Below are 26,685 nucleotides of genomic sequence, written 5' to 3'. Positions count from 1 at the left end.
GCAAAATGAAAACATTACCATACTTTACTTTCTCACTCAAATCTTGGTTTTATTTTCATGTAATCTAAGATTATAATTCTGGTTTTTAAAATTCTCACAATGTCACATATCTTATTTTCCAAAAATTAACATTGTCATTTTTACAACCATATATATAACAATTTTTAAACCTTTAAAAATTGATTCAATGTCTACCCTCAGCCAGTTATATTATTATTTTCTTATTCTTTAAATCTATATTTTAACATTTTGGAGCCCAACAGGGCTGAGTTTAAGTCCCAGCTCAGTGGCCATTTACTTTTCTTTGTGTAAATAATAGGCAATCTCCAAAAGAGCAAAACTGTCTTTTATTAGTGGTCAATGGCACTAGGAATCATTCCTTGTGTAGATAATAGGCGATCTCCAAAAGAGGAAAACTGTCTTTTCCTAGTAGTAATGGCGCCAGTGGGGCCTGAGAGAGGAGTGTCATCACACACTCACTGTCTTTTCAAGAACAGACCTGCTTCTTGGAGGAAAAGCCCCCATAAGTTGTCTGCTGTTTTTAAACACCCCGGGCATAGCCTTGATATCTTCAGTCCACAACTGCCAAAGGAAACACCTTCTGCTCTGAAGCTCGCCTTCACCTCCAATCTTCTGCTCTCCAAATGAGATGGTCTTTATAATATCTTGAGTTCTTCTTCCTGGATCCCACGAGGCCACCCCTGTCTCACATAGAAATGAATGGCAACTTGCCCCTGAGTGTCCCTTCTCAGCATGGTTTCACTGTCATTATTGCTCTTGGGAAATCCTCGAAAATTCCACCGTGAGGAGGGTATCTTCCTCAGACATTTTTCTCTTACAGATTTCTCACTCCCCGTTCTCACGTACTCTTGGTTATGTCCATGGTTATTTGAGGAACACTCATATGTTTGTATATGCAAGACATTCTACTCAGAAATCTACATTACTTTACTTTTCCTTGCCTTAATGCCCTGTTATAATTTAAGAGTCAACTAATAATGAAAAAGGACAATATACCTTTTTTCAGGTAATAGTAGTCATCATTTGGAACTGATCATTGCGCTAAGTGCTTTGTATATGCATTATGTGAGGGAATTCAAAACCACCTGTGGGTACATATATGTGTTATTCATATTTAACAGACAGAGCATCTGAGGACTTGAGAGATTGTGTCATTTTCCCAAGGCCACATACGTTATAACTGGCAGATAATATCGCCAGATAATTACGAGGAAATATACAGCAAGGAACATGTAAGCAGAAAAGAGATTTAACACTATTAGAGATTTAAAAAGGAAGGAGGCCACTGTGCATTCGAGGAAACTGGGAAAGGAAGTGGTCCTAAAATTGCACCAACAAGGGTTATGTTTGGAATTACAAAAAAGAGAAAGATGTGTATCCACTGTTTAGACAGAAGGGATGGAAAGCCAGCTATAAGTTAATTTCCCAATGAAGAGCAAGTAAAAGACTGATGCAGCTCTGGCTAAGGAGGGACTGGGCTGAGGAAGATGAATTCCCTTCTCTGATAATCATCTCTGAAGATGCAGGAGCTGGAGAGGATGCAATCAAGTCATGGTTTGAGGAGGCTAAATGTACAGGATGAATTAGCCATAAAGACAAAAGTTGTGAAAACACTTAGGAAGCCTTTGTGTGGAGAAGAGTCTGAACCAAGACAGTGGCCTTAAAAGTAGGGGAGACATTATAAAGGAAAACTCAGGAGTCCTTGTGGGATGATCAGTAATGGGGTACTGGAAGACAGGAAGAATCAAAGATGGACTTCGTAAGACACAAGAGCTGATAAAACATTAAAACACTCAGTCCAATGTCCTCACTTTATAATAGGAGAAGCTGCAGTTGGGAGGGGAAATGCTTACCGAGTCTCCCGGCCTGTGAGTAAGAAGGCTTCATCACCACCAGCCCAATACTCTCTGCTGCCTCACAGAAATACTTGTGTTAACGTCATTCTAAGATCCAGAATGTGGTGAAATGAAATGTATAAAATTGAAGTAGTTCCCCATTTGCTACATCTTTCACAACAAATGCAGCTCTACAGCCTTCCTCACTGTATCTCAAGCCCCACTACAGTTCCCACTACAATGCCTCAAATTTTCTACGTAGTTAGTATTTTAAACCATCTATAGTTTAGTTTCCCTCATCTGAATATGGCCAGGGAAACGCTTTACATAGTACATGAGAACGTTTCTCATATGTATCCAAAGAAGAAAATGTGTAACATATGTATCCAAAGAAGAAAATATATATCCAAAGTGTATTTAGTTAGATATAAGATAAAGATGAAAACAGGACAATTTTGAGCCACCTGACTGAGGATTGGCAGTAGGCAGGTTGTCTTCTTAGTTTTGTTGTGTGTTTATGAACAGGATTTAAATGGCAGATAGCTAAAATACATGATATTATTTCTTAGGTACAAAATAATAGAGCTATGACCTCTCATAAACCAGTCCTAGAGAATGAGGGCTGATAAAGTGGTATGGTATTCAGTGCACTGGAGTTTTCTAAGCACCAGTAATAGAAGGTGAAAGAATCTCTGCACCTGACTCCACACACAACTCACTAAAATCAAGGAGTATTTATGGAATTCTTGAGGCCTGTAAAGCATTTTTTGAAGTGCTGTGGGGCGTTTTAAGATGTACAAAGCAGTGTGTCTGTCCCATGAAAATTTTGGACCTAGTTCTATTCATTCACTGGAAAGGCCATGAGGGAGAAAAATGTTCTTTCAGACTCTAAAGTAAGTAATGAGCAAAGAATAAAGCAAGAGATAAAAGATGGTGTGTCTTCATGTGACTAGGAAACTTTGAAATTTCTGCTTTTACTTAAAACCATACTCATTCTCATAAGCCCCTTAAAAGTGAATAAGAAAGAAAATATTTTACAGTTAGATATTTAATGTCTTCCCAGTGTAAAATGAAACTATTTCTATGGTATTTCATTAGCCTGCTTCATAAGAATGAAAGATTAGGGAGATTTCACTGTTTTATTAAGTACAGCTCCGGAATAGCTAAGGCAGTCATGGGCAATAGCAAAATCTGGCAGAGATGCATATAAACTAGGCAATCATATTAATAGATGTTTCAAAAATTGGATTTCTCTTCTCTATTATATTTTACTTAATTTTTCATGATTAATTCTCCCTCTTGCACACACACAAGGTTTACATTCTGTTAGCTTAGTCATGTGTTAAGAAAAATGGAAAATGGGTGGTCTTATTGGGAAAGGGAAGTGGTGATATTTTCAAATACAAAGAAACAAAATATGTAAGTAGTGAAAAATGTGGTGGACAAGGTGCAAAGATTCTTGGAACTTTTCTGCAAGTCTTCAGGAAGCAACCTCTATATTCACAATGATGTTTCTGTCTTGTCAGCATTTTTTCTTTATTTGTGTTGGACTTTATGACATATCTAAGAATAATAAATAATTTATAAGATGCAATAATGGCCTGGTACATTTCTGGCAGATTTAGAAAAAAATCTTTTCCAATAACTCATTTGATAAACTCTTCAGTTCTTTTCTCTAGAACATTTCACACAACAATGCTTTGTTTTAAGCGTTGTCTATCAATGAGTGGCAAAGCATTCATTATGTATTCAAGCCTACTTTTTTGTCAATCTCTTTCTTGCTTCCTTTTATTTTTCCCATTTAAGTGGTATTTTTCTGGGAGCAATCTGATTTTGGGGATGTAAAATAAAATTAAGCTAGAAAAATATTAACTCTTTAAAATCACATGGAAAATGACAGTCTCTCAAAGCAATAATCAAACATCAAAATACAATGTGATTTAATGCATATTTTATCATTTGCCTACTCATCCCTACCCAGATGCATATACATGGCCATGTAGCTGTTAGACTGCTGGGCTAAGAAAACGGGAATATAAACAATAGAAATTTCCATGTTATTCCTGAGAAATAAGAATCTTTTTGTCTTACCAGGGATTGAATGAATATATATGTACATATGTATACACACACACAAATATATATATACACACATATGTGTGTGTGTGTGTGTGTATATATATATATATATATATATATATATATATATATATATATATATATATATAGTTAGCTTAGTCATGTGTTAAGAAAAATGGAAAATAGGTGGTCTTATTGGGAAAGGGAAGTATATATATATACTTAAGGAGTTGTCTGGCCATTATCCAAAACTAATGCAGTATGTGATTTCTCTCCTCTCTTCACTTTTATAGTTTCTATGGATAATCTCAAACTAGGTGGCAGGGGATCAGAGACGGTTCTTATTCTTATTTCCTATCCTGCAATGTGGGTAGCTTAGCCTGCTGTCCTTTGTGATTAAGGTCATGTTCACACTGTGCTGTCAGCATGTTTAGTGCTGAAGAATGTGTTTCTAGGTAGAATTCTAGGTGCACTAGTGATGCATGTTTTTTGTTCTTTCTCGACCTGTTTGTTACCAAGAATTTCACTTCAAAACTGGCCAGCTGCTATTTGGCCATAGACCCAAGATTTTACATCTCTAAAGTAACTAGAGTTTCTCATGAATGAGAAGGTTCGGGCAAAATATGAATGAAGACAGAAGGGAAAGGCAGCTATATTTAAAGATGACTATGAATCCCAGTGATCATAGGGACATGTGAGGTTAGCAGATTCACATTTAAGAACAAAGGAATGCAGGAAAAGCAGTGAACAGGTGGCTGGCTCCCTTTAAAACAATTCCTAGTTCTTCAGAAGTCAATATTAGCTACGATGTATTCCAGTCATAGATAAGACTTACTAGTTTCATTCCAGGAATGACATAGAAACAAAGACTCTGTACCTCTCTGAAAAGATGGAAAGTTTCTCTTCTTACCCTCAACCATGTACTCTCTTGGGGGCACAGAGAAATCCAATATCTGATCCTTAAGTTCGAGGTTTGGACCTATATACTCATTCCTCAAATCAAAGATGCCATTTATTCTAAGGTGTGCCATTGAGTAATAATTGTTTTTCACACATGCACACAAAGTCAACACTAGCAATATTAAATGTAATATCCAATTAAGAGGTATTTTAGCCACAAACAGTATAATTTTAAAACGTGCTGCTTAGGATTAAGATCAGTTGTTAGTCTCCAGACACAGACATTTTAACTTGAATGCCCCTTATTAATGACATAGGCTCTTTTTTTTTTTTTTTTTTTTTCAGATAGAGTCTTGCCTTGTCGCCCAGGCTGGAGTGCAGTGGCATGATCTTGGCTCACTGCAACCTCCACCTCCTGGATTCAAACAATTTGCCTGCCTCAGCATCCCCAGTACCTAGGATTACAGTTGCGTGGCACCATGCCTGGCTAATTTTTGTATTTTTAGTAGAGACAGGGTTTCACCATGTTGACCAGGCTGGTCTTGAACTCTTGACCTCAAGTGATCCGCCCACTTCGGCCTCCCAAAGTGCTGGGATTACAGGCATGAGCCACTCCACCTGGCCTGACATAGACCCTTATTCATTTATGTATGCATGCATGCATTGAGTCCCTTCTGTTTGTAAGCTCTGCTCTAAGTGTTGGGAGGATTTAAAAAATAAATTAAACTTGACTCCTTAAATACCTTACGGCTTAGAAGGGGACAGATAAAATTATGTTAAGTATATTCCAAGCTGAAAATGGAAGTATCCAAAGCATGGTTGAGAAAAAAACAAGTGCTTGAGAAACAAATTCTAAGTTTTGGTTATTTATCTTAGAAGGCTACTTCTAGTTTGGCTGGGGAAGGGAAGGGAATGGATGAGGACAATCTTCATAGGGAAAGCAGCATTTTCTTTTCCTACACTGTGACTAATGAGTAGAATTTTCTATGTAACATTTTCACTGTAATGATTCCAGTTACCTTTAAAAGTGAATTTCATCAAATCATTGTGCATTGCATGTTTTCAGCCTGAGCTTTACATAATTTATCAAAATGCTATTCATAGTTTCTAGTTGTGTTGTCAGGTGCTGGGCTTTATTTTTATGATGCTATCTTACCATTAGACTATCATTGAACCTGCCTTCTTTAAACACAGATTTACCAAGCGCCCGAGTGTGCTGGTGCTCTGGGTAACTGCGATATAACGAAATCAAAAATATGAGTTTTTTCTTAACCTTGTTTAGGGATTTTGGTTGTGAATTTAAAAGATAAGTAATGACTTAAGACAGTATGTAGTAATAAGAGCTAGCTAGGAAAACTGGAGGAAATACTAAATACTGCAGGAAGGGAAAAATCCATGTTTTCTGGGAAACAATGTTTCATAGACTGTATCTACCAAGAAAGGAAAAAATGTAAAAAGTAAAGAGGTGAGGATGTTCTGTGTCTGGGGATCAGTAAGTTGATCAGCTGGTGGGAAATGTGTTTATGTTGAGATATAGGAAGAGAATTACATAAAAATCAACAATTTTGTGTTGAGCACTTGCCATTTCTCAAGAACTTTCCTAGGCCATGGAGATATATAAAAGTTACTAAGATATTATTTTGTTCCTTAAGACACCTCCAATCTATTAGGAATGACTGCCAAATCAGTAGATAATATCAATATTTTAAATAGTTAGGAAGAGGGGCTCCCCCACACACAAAGAGGACCGCTGAGGACCTTGGATCAGGGAAAGGTGTTTGCAAAGCAGTATTATCGGGAGCAAAGCGATGAATGCCAGATGTAAGGAAAGAGCTAGGAAATGAATGCAAAATCTATTTGTAATGTTTATTTATTTTTCTATTAGATACGACTATTAATATATGAATAAGATACCCTGTATATAACATTCTAACTAAACACTACCTTTAAGTTAAACAGCACGTTTAATCGTCTGTTTTCAGCAGAAAACTATTATATATAAACCAACTCAAGTAAAGCTCACTCTTGGAGTATACATTTTCTACATTTTTGGCTGACATTTCTAGGTCCCTGAGCAGATCTTATTAGCTTGGTGATTTTAATCTCTGCCTTTAAAAAATGAAGGTCTTTCACTCTGAATTCCTTCAGTTGATTTATACCTTCCTTATCCTTTTCATCATGCTGCTGCCTCCCCAGGAATATTAAAAAGTGATTATTGGGCTTGAGCAACACCACAGGCTTCCTTTTGATTTAACAGTCAAATATACACAGGATTTCGTGATCATTTTAAAATTACTTGTAAACTGTATTTATATGCTAAGCTCTTGAAACTGAATAAGCAGCTTCTTGGCCTTGAAAGGAGATTGATGCCACTGTATTTTTTGTCACTTTAGGCAATATTACTTCGAGTGTTTATCGACTGTGGCCCTTACCCAACTACAGTTCATTTAGGCTTGAAAGGAGGCTCTGGAAATGGCACTATCAGTTCTTTTCTGTGTTACATATTCCTAGTTTACAAATAAGCTGACATTTATATTAATCAGTCCTCTAGAGCAACTGTAGCTGAGGAAGGGCTAATACATCATCCCCAAATTGCTACCCAAGTTCTATTCCAAAATCTTTATTGCTGCTGCTGATAAATGGAATAAAGCAAAATAAAAATTTGGAATTTTCAGTGTTCTGATAACTATTGGGAAGACGATGTTACGCAATTGTAGATAAATTTTGAAATCTGCATATATTTAAATAGTTTTGATGAACCAATAATGATGACATGTCATAAAATGCATATTTATCGTGTTTTCCCAGAAGATTATTTTAGATGAATATGAGGTTAATAAGCCCCCTTTTTGGCCCTGGAGTGGCTTCAGGACTCATTGCCCAAGTCTAAGAATGTACAAAACTATATAGCAATGATCAAACTACTTACTGATATTTGGGATGATATTCATTGGCTTACGTAGGCATTTTTCACAAAGGCTTTACATTTCAATTGTCTTATACGAAGTGAAATATCACAGCCAAAAGATAAAAAACCTTCTAACAGAGTCTGAGAAATGTAGGCTTGTTCCTACAGATCATAATGAAGGTAAGACATACAGTAGACTGGTCTTCAATCTTTTAGAGCACTGGAACTTGGGACTGTCTAATGATGTGAAAGCAGGATGCTTAAATCTGTCCATGAGCCTCTGAAACATCACCATAATTAAGTTTCAAGGCTGCACTCCATAGATCACTGAAACAGATATTAGGGTTGAAAAGGTCTCATTGATATGAATGGCACAAGCCATCTAGATGCCCAAGCAGAGATGACAACTTAAATATCATCCTTTGATTAACCCTGAAAGGAATACATCTACCGGGAGGGAGTGAGAGGCCACCTGAAAAAAAGAAAGCTACTGAAAAGTAGGTGGTTCTTCTGATGAAAAGCAGGCTAACAAAGAATAAATTGCAAGACAGGGCAGGAGAATAAAACACAAAGACAAAGAGATGGTATTGCATATATGTAAATACAAGGCCTGAAGGAAAAACAAACAAGCAAAAGAAGTCGTATATTAAACTTTAGGATGCACAACTCTTGTCACCAAGGTCTGCTGAATCTTCTTTCAGACTCCTTTGGGGAAGCTTGCAACTACTACTTTACCAAAATAGCACCTAACTTAAAAAACTATTTCCAGCTACACCTAAAGCTTCAACCTAGCTTCAACTAAAACTGCTTCATCCCACGCTAAGCATGGAGAGACAGGATCGTTATAAAGGAAACATCTAGACTGGAAACAGAGAAAGTCTTTATTTGTGCTTCAGTAGTTGCTTGTTTTTTCTAATATAAGCTTTGCAAACTTGAGCAATTTCTTTAACCCACCTGAACCTCAGTTTCCATTTGTGAGAAAGGTGCAATATTCCTGCTCATCTTGTGCATTAGTGAATATGAATGGGGATTTGAAAACTGCAGTATTGTGCAAACTGAAAATTATTGCTATTAAGAATCAATTTGTTCATAAAGTAATTTTTACTGGGAAGATATTATATATATTAGGAATACCAATGAGAATAACTAACAAATAACTTGATCTTTGGCTTCAACCCATGTCTTTAAAGAGAGTCATTGTATTTATTTCTTTTGCATTGGGTTGACACCTCTAGGTATACGGCCTGAGAGTCTCTCTGGAACCCAGGGACCTTGTGTCTGCAATTTTTAGCACTTGCCACCAGATGGCACAGTGTAGCAAGTAAACACCAACTGACTGCTCCTCAGGTAGGGAAATTGTGCTCCTTCAGCACAGGGAAAAATGATTTATGGAGACATGCTCATGATGGTTATTTTCATGCTGTGCACACTATTTTTAAAAAGCAATAAAAGTAGAATTCTATTGAAACGAATGTGCAAACAACCCATATATCAGGCCATATTTGTTTTCTGTGTCTTATGCATTTTTTTTTGTGTGTTTTTTTTTAAAGGGGTGAATGATTCTATGGTTAGCTCAGTGCCCAGCTTCTCAAGTGTTTCTGCTTTGAGTAAAAGTACTTATGTAGTTCAAGATGATCTTGTGTGATCATAATTGAATTTATACTATGTAGAGTTTGCTGAGTTTTGCTGTCTTTTCAACCTTAGAGGTGCAAATATTTCCCCATATGCCTTGCTTAAATAAATCTATTTTATTTATTTATTTTATTTATTTATCTTGCTGTCTACATTGTATATAATTCAAAAGAAATTCAGATGTTACTCCAGAAGCCTTCAATACTGTTATAAATCTGTTTTGAACTCTCTTGAAGCGGCAAGAAAGTGGCACCAGCATGGGTGGAGAAGATTTTTTTAAACAAGAGCAGCCTTTCCAAACTCTTTTCTGTTTCCCTCAAAACTTTGATCCTCTCCTCTTTCCTCTTACATTCCATATCTACTTTTCTTCCCCGCCTGCCTTCCCCCAAATAGCACCTTTCTCTCTTAGGTCTTAGTTTTTTTTCTAGTCCTTTCCAAGGTAATTTTCATCAGCACTATTAAACCTGAGGTGAGTGGTACAGCATACGATTCTTCTTAGGATGATTTTTTTCCCCTTAATGTGGCAATCTAAGTGGTTGCAGGTAACAAGTGACTAGAACAATCCAAGTTGTTGGAAGTTATGGTCATGAAAAGTCAATTAAGTCTTAATGTCATCCAGAAGTCCACTTTTCCCACATTGCCAAATTCATCAATCCTGGTGTTTAGGAATCAGCTCCTTCTGAACCATGTGAGCAATAGAGGGTTCCCCTCTTCTGGGCTCTGTCACAGTGCCCTATGATACGTTGCTTTACATGGCTTAATATCCTTTAATATGTGCATGTATCTCATGGCCTGATATTGTTTAAGAATGTGCTTGCTGCAAGTAACAGGAAAGCTAGTTAAACTTACCAAGGCCTAAAATATGGAGTTTATGTTTCATACCCAATAAGGAGTCTAGGACAACATGGGCAGCTCTACATTTCATTTGGAAAACTCTTTCATGATAACAAGATGGCTACATGAATGTCAAGCACAAGCCGAGTCTGCTGTTTCATCAGGAATGCTCATTATCCCCAGAAGCCCTGAGCAATTTCTACCCAAGTTTCATTGGCCAAAACTGGACCTGTGACCATTCTGGGTAGCAAGGGCAACTCGGATTGTGAGATGAGCTCTTAGATCAAAGGACCAAAAGACTAGGAAAGGGCCAGGTTAGCTAGCCAATCATCACTGCTAGATTCTCTGCACAAGAGACTGCCAATTAGCCTCCAACATTTGATAAAAGCCTCGAATTTTAACTGAGCACATGAGTTCCTAGAATAAGAGCCTCTCCCACCTTCTCTTGTAGCTCAGAGTGGCCACTTGACTATTCTTACAGAGAGATATAAATATAAATGTATATATGCAAGTCCAAAAAAAGCCATACCATTTTTGGCTTCAGTTTTTATTCTTGGCTTTCTTCTACTCTATTTCTCTTTCTACTGTCTCAAAATCAGATGTGGTGGCTGGAGAAACCATCATGGATTACATGGTGGGTCTTCAGAAAGAAAATTGCTTTTAGCAGGAAAACCAGACAGTAGGAATCTGGGTTGCTGACACAGTACGGAGGATTATATCAGCATTTGACTGTTTGCCTGGGTTTTATTAGAGAGAAATAAACTCCACATTGTTGTAGTGGGTTGAACTGTGGCCTCAAAAATATGTTTCCACATCTTAATTCCTGGGACCTGTGGATATAACCTTATTGGGGTGGGAGTGGGTGGGAAACCTTTGCAAATATAATTAAGTTAAGGATCTCAAGATGAGATCATCCTGAATTTTCCAGGTGAGCCCTAAATCCAATAACAAGTATTTTTATAGGAGTCTTACAAGGAGAGTCACACAGAAAATAGAGGAAGGGACGCAAACACACAGAGGAGATGGAAAGGTGCACAGGGAGCAGAGATTTGGGTAATACAGCCACGTGGAATGACGGAAGCCACCAGAAGTTGCAAGAGGTAAGGAAGACCTCTCCCTCAGAGTCTCTAAAGGGAGCCTGGGCCTGCCAACACCTTGTATTTAAATTTCTGACCTTCAGGACCGTGAGAGAACACATTTCTGTTATTTAAAGTCACCAGCTTTGTGATAATTTTGTGCAGCAACACTAGGAAATAGATATACTTTTTTAAGCTACTACTTTTTCTTAGTTTTCTGCCATTCATAAAGTAATCTAATGCTAAATAACATTTTCGCAAACTATATTGTAAACATCTTTAAATCAAAGATTGCATCTCATAATTATTTATATCTCCTACATAGACTAGAAGAGAGTGTGTGTATGTGTTATTACTAGTGGCACTACTTTTGCATTGCTATCCATTCATAAGGGATTTGGCGTTTAGTAGATACTGCTAGTTTCAAATAAGGCTTGGAAGAATTTCAAGAATTATCATTATTATTGCCTAGCAAAATACATAAGCTAAAGCAAAAGATAGGTGAAAGGTAAGTAAAACCTAGAGTGACACATCTAAGTTTTGGATATGCTAATATGTTGCTATCTATTGCAAGGTTTAGTTTATACTGTGAATGGATTAGACATTTTTTTTTACTCATCAATATTAAATAAAAACCCAGCAGGTTGTCTGTTGTACTTATATTTAACCTGCTTCCCAAGTTAATTGGTTTCCTTCCAGTTTTAGCATCTTGAAGACTTCCTCAGTTTTCTGTCATGCTGGTTTGTGGCTTATTTCACTTAAATACTAATTCACATTTTTGTTGGCTTGTTTTCATTGTAGTACTCAACTAGGTATAGAAATAGTCAATTAGGGCAACCTGATAATTTGCAGAAATGAGAATTTGAGAGTTCTACTGACTTACTGGCCTTTATGAAGGTCACATAAAGTATGAGAAACTTTGAAAGACTTGTCTTAGATTCAAACCTGATTTTGCCGTTGAAAAGCTGAGTCAGGGTCTCAACTGCTATATATGTAAGGGAGGAATATGTATGTACATACACACACATATAAATACACATATATCATATGTAAAGTATTTACTATGAACTAAGTACTTTTCATAAATTACATTATTACATTCTTGTCTCAGTTCTGAAAGGAAGGCATTACTATACACTATCATCAGAGAAAGCTCAGAACCTTGTTTAAATCATTTGCCCAAGATCAAGCACTAGTAAGTAGCAGAACCAGGTCCAACTGACTCCAAAGCATGATGCTGCAAATTTATTCTTAAAATTTTATCTTGGGAAAACATTATTGATTTACCATTTTGTAGAAAGATGAGCTATCACAGGCTTGATGCTGCTAGATAATTACTGGCTTTTCTTTTTTGGAATATGTTCTTTGTGACTATGCCTACTTTACATCTTGTCAATTTAATCCTATCTGCAGATTCTTGGGATTTATCCCATTACTGCCTATCTCTCATTAGAGAATATGAAATTTAAAACTCAATGAATGTTCCCTAAAGCTTGTGACTATTAAACATGGACAATAATTAATTTGTATTTGCTGATATTACTTTTAAAACTACTTGTGTATTTGAAATCTTTCAAAGTCATATTATTGGTTTAACATGTCTTTCCAAATATACATATTTGTATATTATATAATATGTATATTTTCAAAATTAAACAATGGAATTGTTTATGCCACTTCTACTTAATGCACAGACCTTCAACTCTAAATGATGCAAGGTCCATGGTAACCATATTTGGAAGAAAGTTTTGATAGGATAAAATTTCTCCAGGCAACCAGATGAGCAGCAGATCCTTTTCTTGGTGTTCTGGGATCTTGTTCACTGTGCTGAGGGCCATGGTACTTCTGCTTACCTGTGCTCATCTGCCAAGCACACCTTTCAAGATAACAGGAGGAAACTTAAATCCCATCCTTTTCTGAAAATGAACCATACTTGAAGTGCTGGAGATTTTATTTCAAAGAAAAATGGCTACTTCATTCCAGTGCCACACATGAATCCAAAAACCATTTACATCTAGAGACAGCTAAGTGGATAGGAACTTTCATGAAATTAGACTCACCTTTTTCTAGAAATGCAGAAGCAGCCACATGGCTGACAAGATGTTATGTCAAACATTGCAGATGTCCCCTTTCCTTGCAAATATCTCTGTTGGACATTCCAGGAAGTGCAGATTATCAAATGCCAGCTATTTGGAATGCATTCATTTCCTTTTGATTGTCTTGGATATAACTCATAAAATGCTACTGAAAGTCTACACTAATATTTAAATTGTCCAGATCTCCAAGAGTTCAGCTGTCAGGCTAGTAATTGACATACACTCTACCAATGTTTGAATCAATTTATATTAAAAAAATAATGTCTTGTGCCAGTCTAGGTAATTTAAATTTCTATAAAAGAGGACACTAAAAAACTCCCAAATTCTTTAAAGAAATTAAACATTGAAAGGGTTAAGCCTATTAAAAAGTAAAGTGGAACTAAAAACAGACAAGATGCTAGGCCATTCATACATAGCCCAAGGTGGTTTATGGGAAGGACGAATGGCTGTCTGGATAACAAGGGGCTCTCTTTGCCCTAGTGCCAAGTTAGTCCTGAGGAGGGCTCTTCAGGGGGGGCACATTCATTCTTTAAGGCACTAGGAACTCATTTAGTACCCTAAAATGAACTCATTATTTCTTAAAAGCCATGCTGCAGCCCACCTAAAAGTCTTTTATACAGAATCCCACAGTTTAAACTAATTAAATTCTGCATTATTTAGTTTAATGCACATCATTAAAGTCATTTTTCTTCCTTTGGAGTGTGGAGAATTCAAGTAATAATAATGCCTTGTATTTGTAAAGAATTTAACTTATAAAGCTTTTTTCCTCAATTATTATCCTGCCTGACCCTTAAAGCAAGCATATGAAGTTTCCTGTGTATGCAGCAATTCTACAACAAACTACATAAGAGCAAGGGCCAAATCTGTCTTATTCCCTATGAGTACTCGTATCTAGCGGGGGGCCAGGAATGATGATGCAAAAAACACCCAACGCTCACTATTTACCAGGCACTACTCTAACCATTACAACTCAGTTAAATGAGTTGATTTACAGTAGAGTCCTAAGAGGCAGGTAAAAGGGCTGAGTAACTTGACCAATGTCTTGCAACAGGACGTGTGGCTCTCCAAAGTGTCACCTGTTGGCCACTGTGTTCCACCGTGATAATAGCACAGGATAGAACACAAACCTTTGTTGCATGAATGAAGAAATGCAAGGATATGGTGGGCAGACACAATATCATTATTCCCAGTTTAGAAGTAAGGGCACTGAGGCTCAGAGAGAGCATCATTTTCTGTCATACAGCTGGAAGTTGTGCAGCTGGACCTGAATAGGTCATCTGATCCTAGCCCAGTGGTCTTTCCACTGTGTTATTTCTGCTTCTCTCTACTTGTCCATTTACAAGCCACCTTTTAAAAAAATTAGTTACTTCTTTTAGATATTTTAGCTTGTGAGTTTTTTGAAGCTCTTTATGGCACAGGCTCAGTACACTGGATTTTTATTCTGTGAGGCTAATGCTGACTTCCTCAGATATCAGAGTGGCCCACAGACTCCTCAGTGCAGAACAACTTTCTTAATTCTTATCAAATATGTTGAAATAGATCCAATGGTAGGATCTCAAAGCCTCTCTTATTTGGCACCATCTGTATCTTTAACTCAATTCAATGTTGCCTGGGAACAAGAAGTGATTTAACTTTTTGAAAATAAATTGAAATTTTAAAAATGTATTTGGCAAAGTATTTGTTAATCTTTCTATCCAAAGGGGCATTTTAAATTTCCAAATAAATTCAACAATGCAACCATAAACCACATGGGATCCTTACTGGGATTTAGAAGACCAGTTTCTGAGACAGGATGAGCTTGGTTATTGAGGAGGGAAAAGCTCTTTCCCTGTATGTATATTTTCAAAATTAAACAATGGAATTGTTTATGCCACTTCTACCTAATGCATAGAGACCTTCAACTCCAAATGATGCAAGGTACATAATAATTATATTGGGAGGGAAGTTTTGATAGGACAGAATTTCTCCAGCTAGCCAACTGAGCGGCAGATCCATGTCCTGGTATTCTGGCATCTTATTCACTGTGAGGCCCATGGTGCTTCTCACCTGTGTCCTTCTGCCAAGATACACAGCACAAAGGAGAATTTGAATGTTGGTCTCAGAATCACTATTTAGAAAGACTCAGTGATTCTGCCATTTGTAATGGACCACACTTAATTGAAGATTTATGTCTCTAGGTACAAGTTTCAATGTTTGAAAGGCAACAACAACATTCCATGTTTTTGGTTTCTTTCTCTGCAGCAAAATGTGAACAGACAGCAAAAGTCTCTGGCTCCAAAGTCCCTAGTCTCTAAGGAAAGCAAAAACAAAATTCATTTTCCCGTGTTGTCAGCTTAGATTAGCAGTAAAACACTGAAGACATGGCCTGTGGACCATTTTTGTGATGGGGAAGATATCAAAGAATGAAAGAGGGACTCAGGAACAGTGTCTAGGGCTTTGTGGGCAGAAAGGGCCTTCTAGTTCCCTCTCACTCTCCGCCATCCTGCATCTCATGTCAGCCCTGCTCCTCGTGACAGGGTCCATGATCTGAGGAGAAGTGGGTCAGGAGATCAGGATGAACAGGGAGAGTTGTTTACCTGAAGTGGCCAGAAACAACGTAATTCATGGGAAGAACTAACTCCATGGCTGGGAAACCAGGCAGTAGCACTAGTTAGAATTGCATCTGTGGGTAAGCCTTTTTCCCTGTACACTTTTTACCTCTGGTGAAAAGTGGTGAACTGTCCTGTGTCCCTGTTCATATCTAGGCTACTCACTCTATGCTGCACCCAATTTCATTTCTTCTCACCTTCTCAAGGCTTCTGCTCCTTCCTTCATTTATCACCTGTCCTTCATCTATCTCTCATCTCTCTTTCATCTCTCTTTTTCTCTCTTATCTATTTCTCATACCTCTCTCCCCCTGCTCTTCCTTTACTTTCTCTCATCTCTTCTAGGTTAACCCCACCAGCTTACTAACAAGCTGCATTATCTCTAATCTAAGCCACAAAATAAACTAAAACAAACCTCCCTTCACCCCATGTGTTCCTCTAGCTCTTACCCGTTTGCTTCCTTTTATAGTAAAAATCCTCCGAAGAGATGTTGATACTTGGTACCTCCTCTTCCTCACCTTCCCACATGGGCTTACCCCAATCTAGTTTGTCCCCAATACTCCATTAAAACAACTCTTGCTAAATTGCAATCACCTCTGTCACCAGGATCAGGGGGCTAATATCAGATGCAGGATGGCAAAGAGAGAGAGAATGAGAAGGTCTTTGGAATCCCAGTCTCTGTCCTGAGTTCCTCCTATTTCAAGATATCCTCTCCATAGCAGAAATGGTCACCAGGACACATCTTCAGTGTTTTCCATGGCCTTTGTGTTGCCAAATCTGATGATCAATTCCAAGCCTATTGAACTTAATCTATCACACAGTATTTGATGCAGGTGTTTGCTTTATCTACTTTAGTATATTTCTTCCCTGGCCTTTGAAGGACAACACTATCCTAGTTTTTGTCCTACCATTCTCTTTGCTGGTTCCTTCTCTTTTTTTTTTCTAAATGCTGAAAGACTCATTTCCTCTCCTTGGTTCCCCTTCCCCTCCTCTCTTCTCCGCTCACCTCTGTCTTCAAACCCAGAGTTGGTAATGATGCTTGCCTGGAAATGAGAACTGTGAAGTAAAGGGAGTTGTATTCAGTCTCAGCATGTTGCTTTGGGTGCTCCCAGGTCACAGGCCATCTGTAACATGGCATCAGAAGACCTAGGCAGCTACAGTTAGAGTGTGATTGTTTCCCAGCACGCATACAGAACCAGCAATCCAGCACTGTGGAGGAAAGTAAAATGAAGCCTAATTATTACTCCTTGTTTCTGATTTACTGAGAGCAAAGCTGTCCACCTACACATTGCTTGATGGACGCCAAGTGTTTTGCAAACTTCAGAGTAGCTTTTTTTGAAACTTACACTTTGATATGTTTCCCATCAGATCGTTTATGTGACAGAATTCTTGTATTGCTTGGAAATCCTCTGTCTTCTCAGTAAATGTACACACAGTACTGCAAAGAGATAAGATAAATACCCAGTCCTACTTTTATTTTGGGGAGGGTAAGGCTGACTTATCATGCAAGTTCACATGAATTTTTGCAACTGTCAAATAATATATTTATAAAAGAAATGTAAGAACCTAAGAAGTCTTATTATAAAGAATGCCCAAATAATGGGCTAATTTTAATTTTATTCGTAAGTTTCCAAACTGTGTATTCACACCTTCTTCAGGGATGCTAACTTGTCACAAAACAGATTCATTTGAATTTTTTATTCATTACCTGCCTTCCAAAGCATACATAAATTAGCTTTAAAATAGCCAAAAGGCTAGAAGTATTGAAGAAGAGGATAAAGAGAATGAATATCCCAGAGCAGGGTTAAGGATGCATTGTGAGCTGGGACCAGTTTAGGGGATGAGTAAATTCCCTGCATCTGACATTCTCATGATGACAGAATAACAAGACGTTCATGTAAGGGATGGACAACCCAGAACAAAGCCCGCATTGTCTGGGGTCTGGTCTAAAAGTCAGAAAATGGGATGAGATGAAGCCTGGCTTTTCCTGATGAGATTTCAAAGTAGCAAAGATAACCTGCACTTAACTATGAGAGAGAGAGGCAGCCTGGTGTGGTGGTAGAGCACAGATTATGGAGACAGGATGCTTGGTCTTCAATATCAGCCTTGCCGCTTATCAACTGTGTGACCTTGAGCCAGTTAGTTAATCTCTCTGTGTCTCACTTTCCTTATCTATAAAATGAGGATAATAACAGTATCTACTTAATAGGGTTGTTAAGAAGATTAATGAGTCAATATACAGAGTTTCTCAACACTGGTACTGTTGGTATTTTCAGCCAGATAATTCCTTGTTGGGGTTGGGTTGGAGGAGAGGTGGACTGTCCTGTGCATTACAGAATATTTAGCATCATCTCTAGCCTCTATCTATTAGATGGAGTAGCAACACCTCCTCTCAAATTGTGACAACCAAAATTATTTCCAGACATTGCCCCTGGTTTTGAACCACAGAGCTAATATTTTTAAAATTCTTAGAGTAGTGCTCAGCATACAATAAGTGCTATGTAAGTATTTGTTAAATAAAACCAATCGTATAACTGACAGCAATATTTTTAAAACAAGTGATAGAAATAAGGCATAAAGATGGGCTAGACATGCAGAGTAGGTGGAAGAAGATAGGCTGTTGGTCTTTCTCAGTTTATGGATTTCACCCTTAACCAGTTATCAAGTCATGATTTATTAAGAAATGATACCCCTATATGCCTGAGAAAATAACTTAAAATTAAATGATTTCAGGGTTGACTCTCTGAAACCCATGACTGCTGCTAGATTGAAACTTCCCTAATAGCCACTAAGAGCCATTCATTCCTCTATACTCATCCTTTGCATGCAGGTGCTCACCTAGGGCAACATCTGTCTTGCCTAGGTGACTTTCCAATTCTCCTCACACACCTAGCTTTGTAGAATCTCACTTTTTGAATAGCTTTTCCTTACTTCTTATTGAAGTCACTCTGTTCTCTCTAAAAGTAAGCAAAGAATCCCAAACCCTGATGCCTCAGGGGCGAAGAAGGTAATCAAAATGGCAGAAGTGGTTCCAGGAAGAGACACGACTGAGTTCCAGCAGTTGGGTAGCATTGGAGATGGACCCAGGTATTCTCTGTAGAACCTCCCTAGAACCTCATGAAGATGTCAAATGCAACTTGATAAAGTATCAAGTGAGTAACTGTGATTTTCCAGCATCTTTTTTTTTCATTAAATTTTCAGAGGATTTTAAACTTGACACCAATATTTCTTTGGAATTTTGAAGCAATTGTGTGGGAGAATTTTGAGTAACTATACAAAGATAATTCTAGTACTGTTTGCTGTACACCCTTGTAGGCCTATATGCCTGAGAAAATAACTTAAAATTAGCATTTGGATAATGTTTAAAATCTACAATCCAGTGGAACAAATGTATTGACACTAATATATAGACATCTTGCTTACTTTGATACAAATAATGTTTAGCCAATATTTTAACTGTGGGTATTAGGGAAGGAATCTTTATTTATAAATGCATTAAGTCACATTGTAATATTTCAAATAGTAAGGACATAGTTTGCATAGTAATCTTTCACTAGCAGGAACTTCATTCATTTTGAATAGTTTGATAGTAACTAATTGTGCAGAACTGATTGTTAAAGCCAAAATAAGCAATTCGATTATGCTATGGCTGATTAGGCCTCGTCATCCAGACAAGATCTCATAGTCAGTAACTGGTCATACATTGTCTATATACACTAAGTAATTTCATAACCTTATAATTATCATGTCCCACACATCTCAACAATGAGAGAATAAGACCAACTCCCCCAGGGTGATAGCATTTATTGATCATACATTAGGTGTGAAACATTATACTAAGCACTTCATGTATATTATTATATTTAAATCTGACAAAAACCTGTGAGATAGGCATCTGTTTTACAGCTGAGAAAATTTAGGCTCAAAGAGGTTAATTATTTTGCCTAATATTACCAGACACTAAGTTGTGTGAATTATTTTAGATCAAAAACTCCCTTATTACACCAGGCTAATTTCCATCTTAGAATTAAAATAAACACAATGTGGACATGTTAGTTAAAAAAATATATATCAGGTGTATGTTTGTATGTATATGTATTTATATATATAAAAATATAAAAATTTATCTCTGTACATACATATATATGTACACATACACACATACCTATTCATTTGTAGGCACTGTAGACACAAATATGTGACAATTATACAGAAAAGCGTAAGTGACTACCATCGTAGGAGATAGAGGGATGGTTAACATACCAATAAGAGTTAGCACCATCTTGGCACAGAAATTTCAGAAGTGAACAAAATTGACACAAGTCTTGCCTTACAGAGCTTACCCTTCAGCAAGAGTGCAAAGCAGTGCTGAAAACAAAAGTCAAAGAAAAGAATCCAAACTTAAAGAAGCCAAAGTCAATCGCTTTAGCCAAATTTACTTAAGAATGTCACCCATTGAAGGAAGGGTTGGATTGGATGTTAACGTTAGGACCAGGCTTCATTTATAATTAAACCTAAGTAAAATGTATGCAGATCTCATTCCATAGCCATGCCTCCATAGTTTAATTAAGATTTAGTAATGATTCATTCTATTATTTTTATAGATAGTTGCTTAAACCTAGAGACATAACTCAAAATCTCAGGATTCTGGTATGCAAAACAAACAGAAACACTTTTTACATAGTAGTTCCTTAACAAGAATCAATTTTTTTAGAGGGTAAAGGAAAAATAAAGAACAGATGCAAATACAGATGAGATGTAACAAAAGGGAAAAATAGATAGACACACAAATACATTTATTCCAGTTGTGTGGTCAGAGAATAATTCCCAATTTGTAAAGAGACAACATAGTCTGAGAGTGCTCAAATTCTATGATTTCTGAAAATTTATGGCCCTCTGCAAGATTTCTACTGCATCCTATTTTTAACTTTACGGACTTCTTGACCTCCCTCTGTGATATACTATTGCCCATAGGACTAAGCCTACTATAACAAGATAAAATAACACAGTAACTTCTCCTATCCATCTCAATAATATGGTGACTTTCAAACCCAGTTATGAGCACCTAAATGTCAGCTCTGTTAAACATTTCACTTCTGATCATTGTAATTGCTGTTAATAAGTTCATTCAGTATAAAGAAAGATAATGACTTGCCAGGACTTGATATTCAATGACAGAAAAAAACCATAAATTTGTATGAATATTCACGTCTTAGTTTGCCTAATTGAGAGTCTTCATATTTTGTAATTGGCTTAAAATACAACCTTTTAAAGAATATACTTGCTGTTCTGGATCCTATGAGTTTTTGGGAAAAATAATGTGAAGGCAGTTTGAATTAATGAAGAAATACATTATAAATGGCTTTCCTTGTTAGTATATTTGGTTTTGAAATTTGAGTCCTTGACTCAAGGGATTTCATCAACAAAAAGTAGTCCATGTTTGCCTTTGATTCAAGTATGTCCCAGTGTATAATTTTATTGGAGATTTGACTCACAGCCTTACCAAATGATTTTAAGGTCTCAGTACATTTAGTTGGTGATCTAGGAGCCAGCAGACAAACTGAAACTTATCATACTGCTCCTGCAGCTCATCAAAGAGAAAATTAGATGGAGCTGATTGATTGAAGTCCCACAAGAAAGAAAAGAAATTTAAAAACAAACAAACAAAAAAATGGTGGAGATACATACGGATAGAGAATATAGTGATACTAAAGAGAAACATGGCATTAGGAGTCCGACTCTACCTTAAATGATGTCATATTTCAATAGAATTGAAAAGCAGGCACTATTCACAATAGCAAAGATTTGGAACCAACCCAAATGTCCAACAATGATAGACTGGATTAAGAAAATGTGGCACATATACACCATGGAATACTATGCAGCCATAAAAAATGATGAGTTCATGTCCTTTGTAGGGACATGGTTGAAGCTGGAAACCATCATTCTCAGCAAACTATCACAAGGACAAAAAACCAAACACTGCGTGTTCTCACTCACAGATGGGAACTGAAGAATGAGAACACATGGACACAGGAAGGGGAACATCACACACCAGGGCCTGTTGTGGGGTGGGGGAAGGGGGGAGGGATAGCATTAGGAGATATACCTAATGTTAAATGACGAGTTAATGGGTGCAGCACACCAACATGGCACATGTATATATATGTAACAAACCTACACGTTGTGCACATGTACCCTAAAACTTAAAGTATAATAAAAAAAAGAGAGAGAGAAAAAAGAGAAGCAGGAAATATTGTCAATAGATAAATGAAGTATAAAAAAGGTCAATTATCTATAAATTAACCTTGTGTTATGATTTGTTTATGTATCAGTCTGTCTCTCCCCATTGGATGATGGGCAGAAACAATGTCTTCTTCATCTTTCTATATTGAGTGTTTAATTATCTGTTAGAGCTCCATATGCATTAGTTTGATGAGTGAATAAACTTGACCATGTGTCTTTCACACTATTCATGGGGTGGTGAGAAAATACTCGAGCATGCCCTTCTAAGTTGTAGGCCAACTGTCAGCCTCTCTAGCCACGCCAAAGAGCCTCCTCCTGGTGTGCCGATTATTAGTTGCCACAATAATTCTTTGGAAAATATCTGAGGAGAAAATCTTTGCTTTTATTGGTGGACAACATCATGAAGAAGGGTTGGGAAAGAACTCATTTTAGACCAGGCTAGATGATATATCCAAGAACGGGTTCAGAGAAAAATGTTTTCAAGAAAGTAATTCACTTACACAGTCACTTTTCATATGCTATCCTATGCTGTAATAATAATAAAAGCCATCATTAATGGAGAGTTTACTGTGTTCCAGGCACTAAGTTAATAGCTTTATATACTTTATCTCACTGAATCCTCCAAATAGCTCTATTATTTAGAAGAATGTTGTTCATTTGGCTGGGCCTTCCATACCAATATCCTGGCATCCAACATCATGTCTCCTTGTGACCCCTACCAAAAGTTTTCAAAACTTCTACAGAACACAGATGAAGGTCAGATATAACTACAGGGCCACGAGTGGATCCAGAATGTCTAGAAAATTCACAGTTGGGGACAAACTGAAAAATAATTGAATTTATAACAGAAGATATCAAATCTGATTAAGACATTATGAAAAAAGAAAAAGTGAGGACAGTTCTGGGGCCAGAGCTAGTTGGGAATGAACAAAGAATAACCAGAGGAAATTCCTAGAATCATGGACGTCTCTGGTGGGGCTCTCATCAAAGGCCTTTGACGGTACCCACAGATGCACTTTCTTGAATATTAAAAAAGAGCCTCCCCATGAGAGAGGCAAATAAGGTTTTTCTTCCTTCTTGGCTTAGAAGGTGAATTGAAAGCACTGTCCAAGATGCAAATGGAAACATCAAGTATGGTGACTTCTACCACATACATCCCTGATGTACGGCAACAGCATCAGAGTCTCTGCTCAAACAGTAAACTTGGAGAAACCTAACCTGTGAGAATAGAGCTAAGGTGCATTACAAATCTCTTTCATGCCCACCAATTTATTTTCATCAAGCCCCCTCTCAATTTCATTTTGAGCAGGAAAAAAATAAAAAAAACTTATTCAGCAGATTGAATGTGGCACCAATATGGAATCCAGTTCATGGACAAATAAAAGGTCTATAAAGAGGTAATATTTTTAACCTTCTGGAAACTAAGTGGCCTATAACTTCCAAATACATACCTCACATCTGGCTTCCTGAACACCACCACTAATATAGTTTTCTTTGGATGGATAAATAAATCTTCCAATGAGTGAGCCCTACAGAGCATTAAATAAAAAGAGGGCTGCTCCATAAAAAGGGCCTTGGAACTCGGTCAACATAGGAATGAAGTGATGTAGGACAGAGCACACCTGGACTAGTGACAGCAGAACTAGAGAGGCCCTGAACAAGGAGGACAGAAAATACCCTGCAAAGATAAAAGAAATGAAACACCATGAAAAAAGGGTGATACCTACATTAAAACAGCAGAAACTGGTCAAACCAGAGAGGAAGGGTGAGAATTGATCTTAACTGATTGCCTATTATGATTCTGGCACTTACCTGTCATTTTTGTATGTTATCCTATGCTATAATAAGAATAAAAGCCACCATTAATGGAGAGTTTACTATGTCCCAGGCACTAAGTTAATAGCTTTAGATAACTTGTCTCACTGAATCCTCTTAATAACTCTGTTATAACCTCATTTTGCATATGCAGAAACACAGTTTAGAAAATGTTAAGTACCTTGCCCAAGGTCATGCCATAACTAAATGATGAAGGAAGGATTTGATCTTGGGTCTCTGACTCCAAAGCAGATGATATTTCCACATGGTGTCTTCCTGTGTGGCCAAAAGGCAGAGTCACTTATAAGAGATAAACCCTCAAAATAGTGGAAACCATAAAGAACTCATTATTAATTCTTTAAAATAATGTGTATGTCAGCATAGATAATATTATCTTACAATTTTCTATAGCAAGCGGCAGTGATATGCATCTATATGCCAGTTGTATCCAGCATGTGAATTCCAACACTCCTGATCAATCACAATCCTGATTTGCTTCCTGAAGGATCTAAGCTTGGAGTCAACTCTAGAACACTTGCATTGATTGGACTTACTGCAAGGCAGCATATTCTCTCTTATCCACCCCACTTGTTACTCACAGCATGCATTTGCAAGATGTCTGGCCAGGTTTGGGGGTACAATGTGTGAATGTAGAATAGATTTCTTTTTTTTCCTCTGAGTCAATTTTCCCGGTTTCCATGGGGAAAGAGTCCATGCTTTTGGCCTTATTAGCACTGTACCAACTGAGCTCACTGACCCAGATAAATATTGTCTGTCTGACATGTGCTTCAGGAATAATAAATATGCAAAACTATTTTTAAACAGAACTCTGTTCTCAGCTATGGGCATTCACTGAGAGAATCAGAGATTGGAATAACCCCCAACATCAGAGAGCTCCATACTTTTCCCCCAAATCATTCCTATTTGTCTTTGGTCTCTGCCATATGATGTGTGTTCTGTGGTTTTAAGAGTCTAATAATGCTTTGGTTAAGCTAAGGTTAAAATTAGTTTGCATTTGCTGCCCACACAGCAACTGATGGCAGGGAATTTATCCCAGGAGCATGCTGCACAGTGGGAGAAGCTGGCTCAGAAGTGCCAGAGGTAATCTGGGAAGTGGAAGATGTCCATGATGAACATGGAAAGGCACTGTAGATCACTGCCATCACACACACACAAAATCCACTTATTGTTCAAACATAGTGCAAAAAGAGCTGGAAGCTGGGGTTCACAGCTATAGGGAAACAGAGGGGAGAAGAGAAGTTTACACATAAATGCTGATGCTGTGGCAGCAATAAGGAGTAGATTCTAAGTGAGAAAGGGGGCATGGGGCCAATTTTCTTAGGAAAAAAAATTCCACTATTGTTATAGATTTTCCATAAGAGATAGTTTTTCTAGGATCTAGCTTATTCATCTGTGAGTATAAAAATAATGCCATTTTCTTTTTGCATTATGAGATTTATACTTCATTTCTTTTACTCATGAGAATTTGCAACTAAAAAAAAACCTCAATATGCTTCTAATTAACCTGTTTTGTTCACTATTCAAGGGACCTTGCTGCCAAGGCTTTCATTTTGACTTGATAGTAAAATCGTTGACACTATAGGCATAATGCAAGGAATTAAAAATGTAAAGACTACCACTGAAAACCATTTTCTTCTATTGGAGTGTTTTTGTATATGGCCCAGATTACCACTGAACATTTTTGCCTTTAGGTAAGTTTATAATACTTTTTCATTTTAGAAGAAATGTGGAGTTTTTGTTTAGAAATGAGCAATATGAAAGTTAAATTGAATTTGTGTTTCTTAAGCTCAGAATGCTAAAATGCAGTACAAAATTATGAGAAGAGGAAGTCATCAGAAATTTCAGAACTGCTCAGTGTGTAAGACTGCAGAGGCCCAATCATCATAAACTCAAATGCATTTTAATAGTCATTTTCATTTAATGTAAAATTCTGGTTTATTCAAACTGTTTAGCAGCTCAGAGATCACAAGATGTGGCTCTATGACTGTTGTATGCTAATCGGAAAGCAGCTGGGAAACAGAGAGTCATTTGACAGAAGTTCTTTATCTTGGCAAGTTTATGTGGAACTAATCTCAAATAAACCACTGTAGCCCACTACTACAGGGACTTAAAATGTTCTAAAATATTAAACGTAGCACTTTTCCCCTTAGTTTACTGAGCTTTGCTTGGTTAATAATTTAACTAGCAAGCTTCTCTGTCCCCATTGCAAGTCTTTGTTTCTGTTATGCTTGTAGATTTAGAAGGATCTACTCTTTGCATATTCAGTGGCTAAGTCTCTTTTTCACTACAGAAATACTAGTTAAGAAACAGCTTCCACCAATGTATCAAGGTGACCGATGAGAGGAAATGCCGTCCTCCAGCTATCTGCTGAAAATGCAGCACAGACTCTGGCTACACTCACCAAAAATGGGTACAGGATATAGGTGAGGCAAGAAAGAAGGTTTAATTGGACAAAAGAATGTAGACCATCATGAGCAAAAAAACTATATGCCCCCAGAATTCCTGAGCTTCCAGGGCCACTTCTTCATGTTGCAGATGTTGATTGTTAGGACCGTGGAGAGGTAGGGAAGGGATAATTTCCCTCAGCTTCTACATGCAAATATTCCTGTAGCCTGGTAAGGCAGTCTGGGTCTTTTA

The 26,685-nt window shown here is 37.3% G+C and overlaps 2 long non-coding RNA genes across 2 annotated transcripts in view; one reads left to right on the top strand and one right to left on the bottom strand.

The window, feature by feature from the left end:
* Window positions 1-26,685, bottom strand: part of LINC02355 (long intergenic non-protein coding RNA 2355) — a 123,829-nt gene that overhangs the window by 4,716 nt on the left and 92,428 nt on the right. The window contains exons 10-12 of the long non-coding RNA NR_125887.1: window positions 17,313-17,404; window positions 17,010-17,175; window positions 13,346-13,431 (exon numbers count right to left, since the gene is read on the bottom strand). This is a non-coding gene — a long non-coding RNA (long intergenic non-protein coding RNA 2355). The remainder of the gene's footprint in view (window positions 1-13,345; window positions 13,432-17,009; window positions 17,176-17,312; window positions 17,405-26,685) is intronic.
* LOC107986320 (uncharacterized) lies at window positions 8,983-24,833 on the top strand. Its single transcript, XR_001741885.1, has 4 exons — window positions 8,983-9,090; window positions 11,173-11,309; window positions 18,931-19,118; window positions 24,439-24,833. It is a non-coding gene; the product is annotated as an uncharacterized LOC107986320 (long non-coding RNA).

The sequence above is a fragment of the Homo sapiens genome, chromosome 4 (genome assembly GCF_000001405.40).
Source record: "Homo sapiens chromosome 4, GRCh38.p14 Primary Assembly".
Classification (NCBI taxonomy): Eukaryota; Metazoa; Chordata; class Mammalia; order Primates; family Hominidae; genus Homo; species Homo sapiens.
The sequence above is the reverse complement of the archived record's forward strand: the minus strand, read 5'-3'. Positions and strand labels throughout refer to the sequence as shown.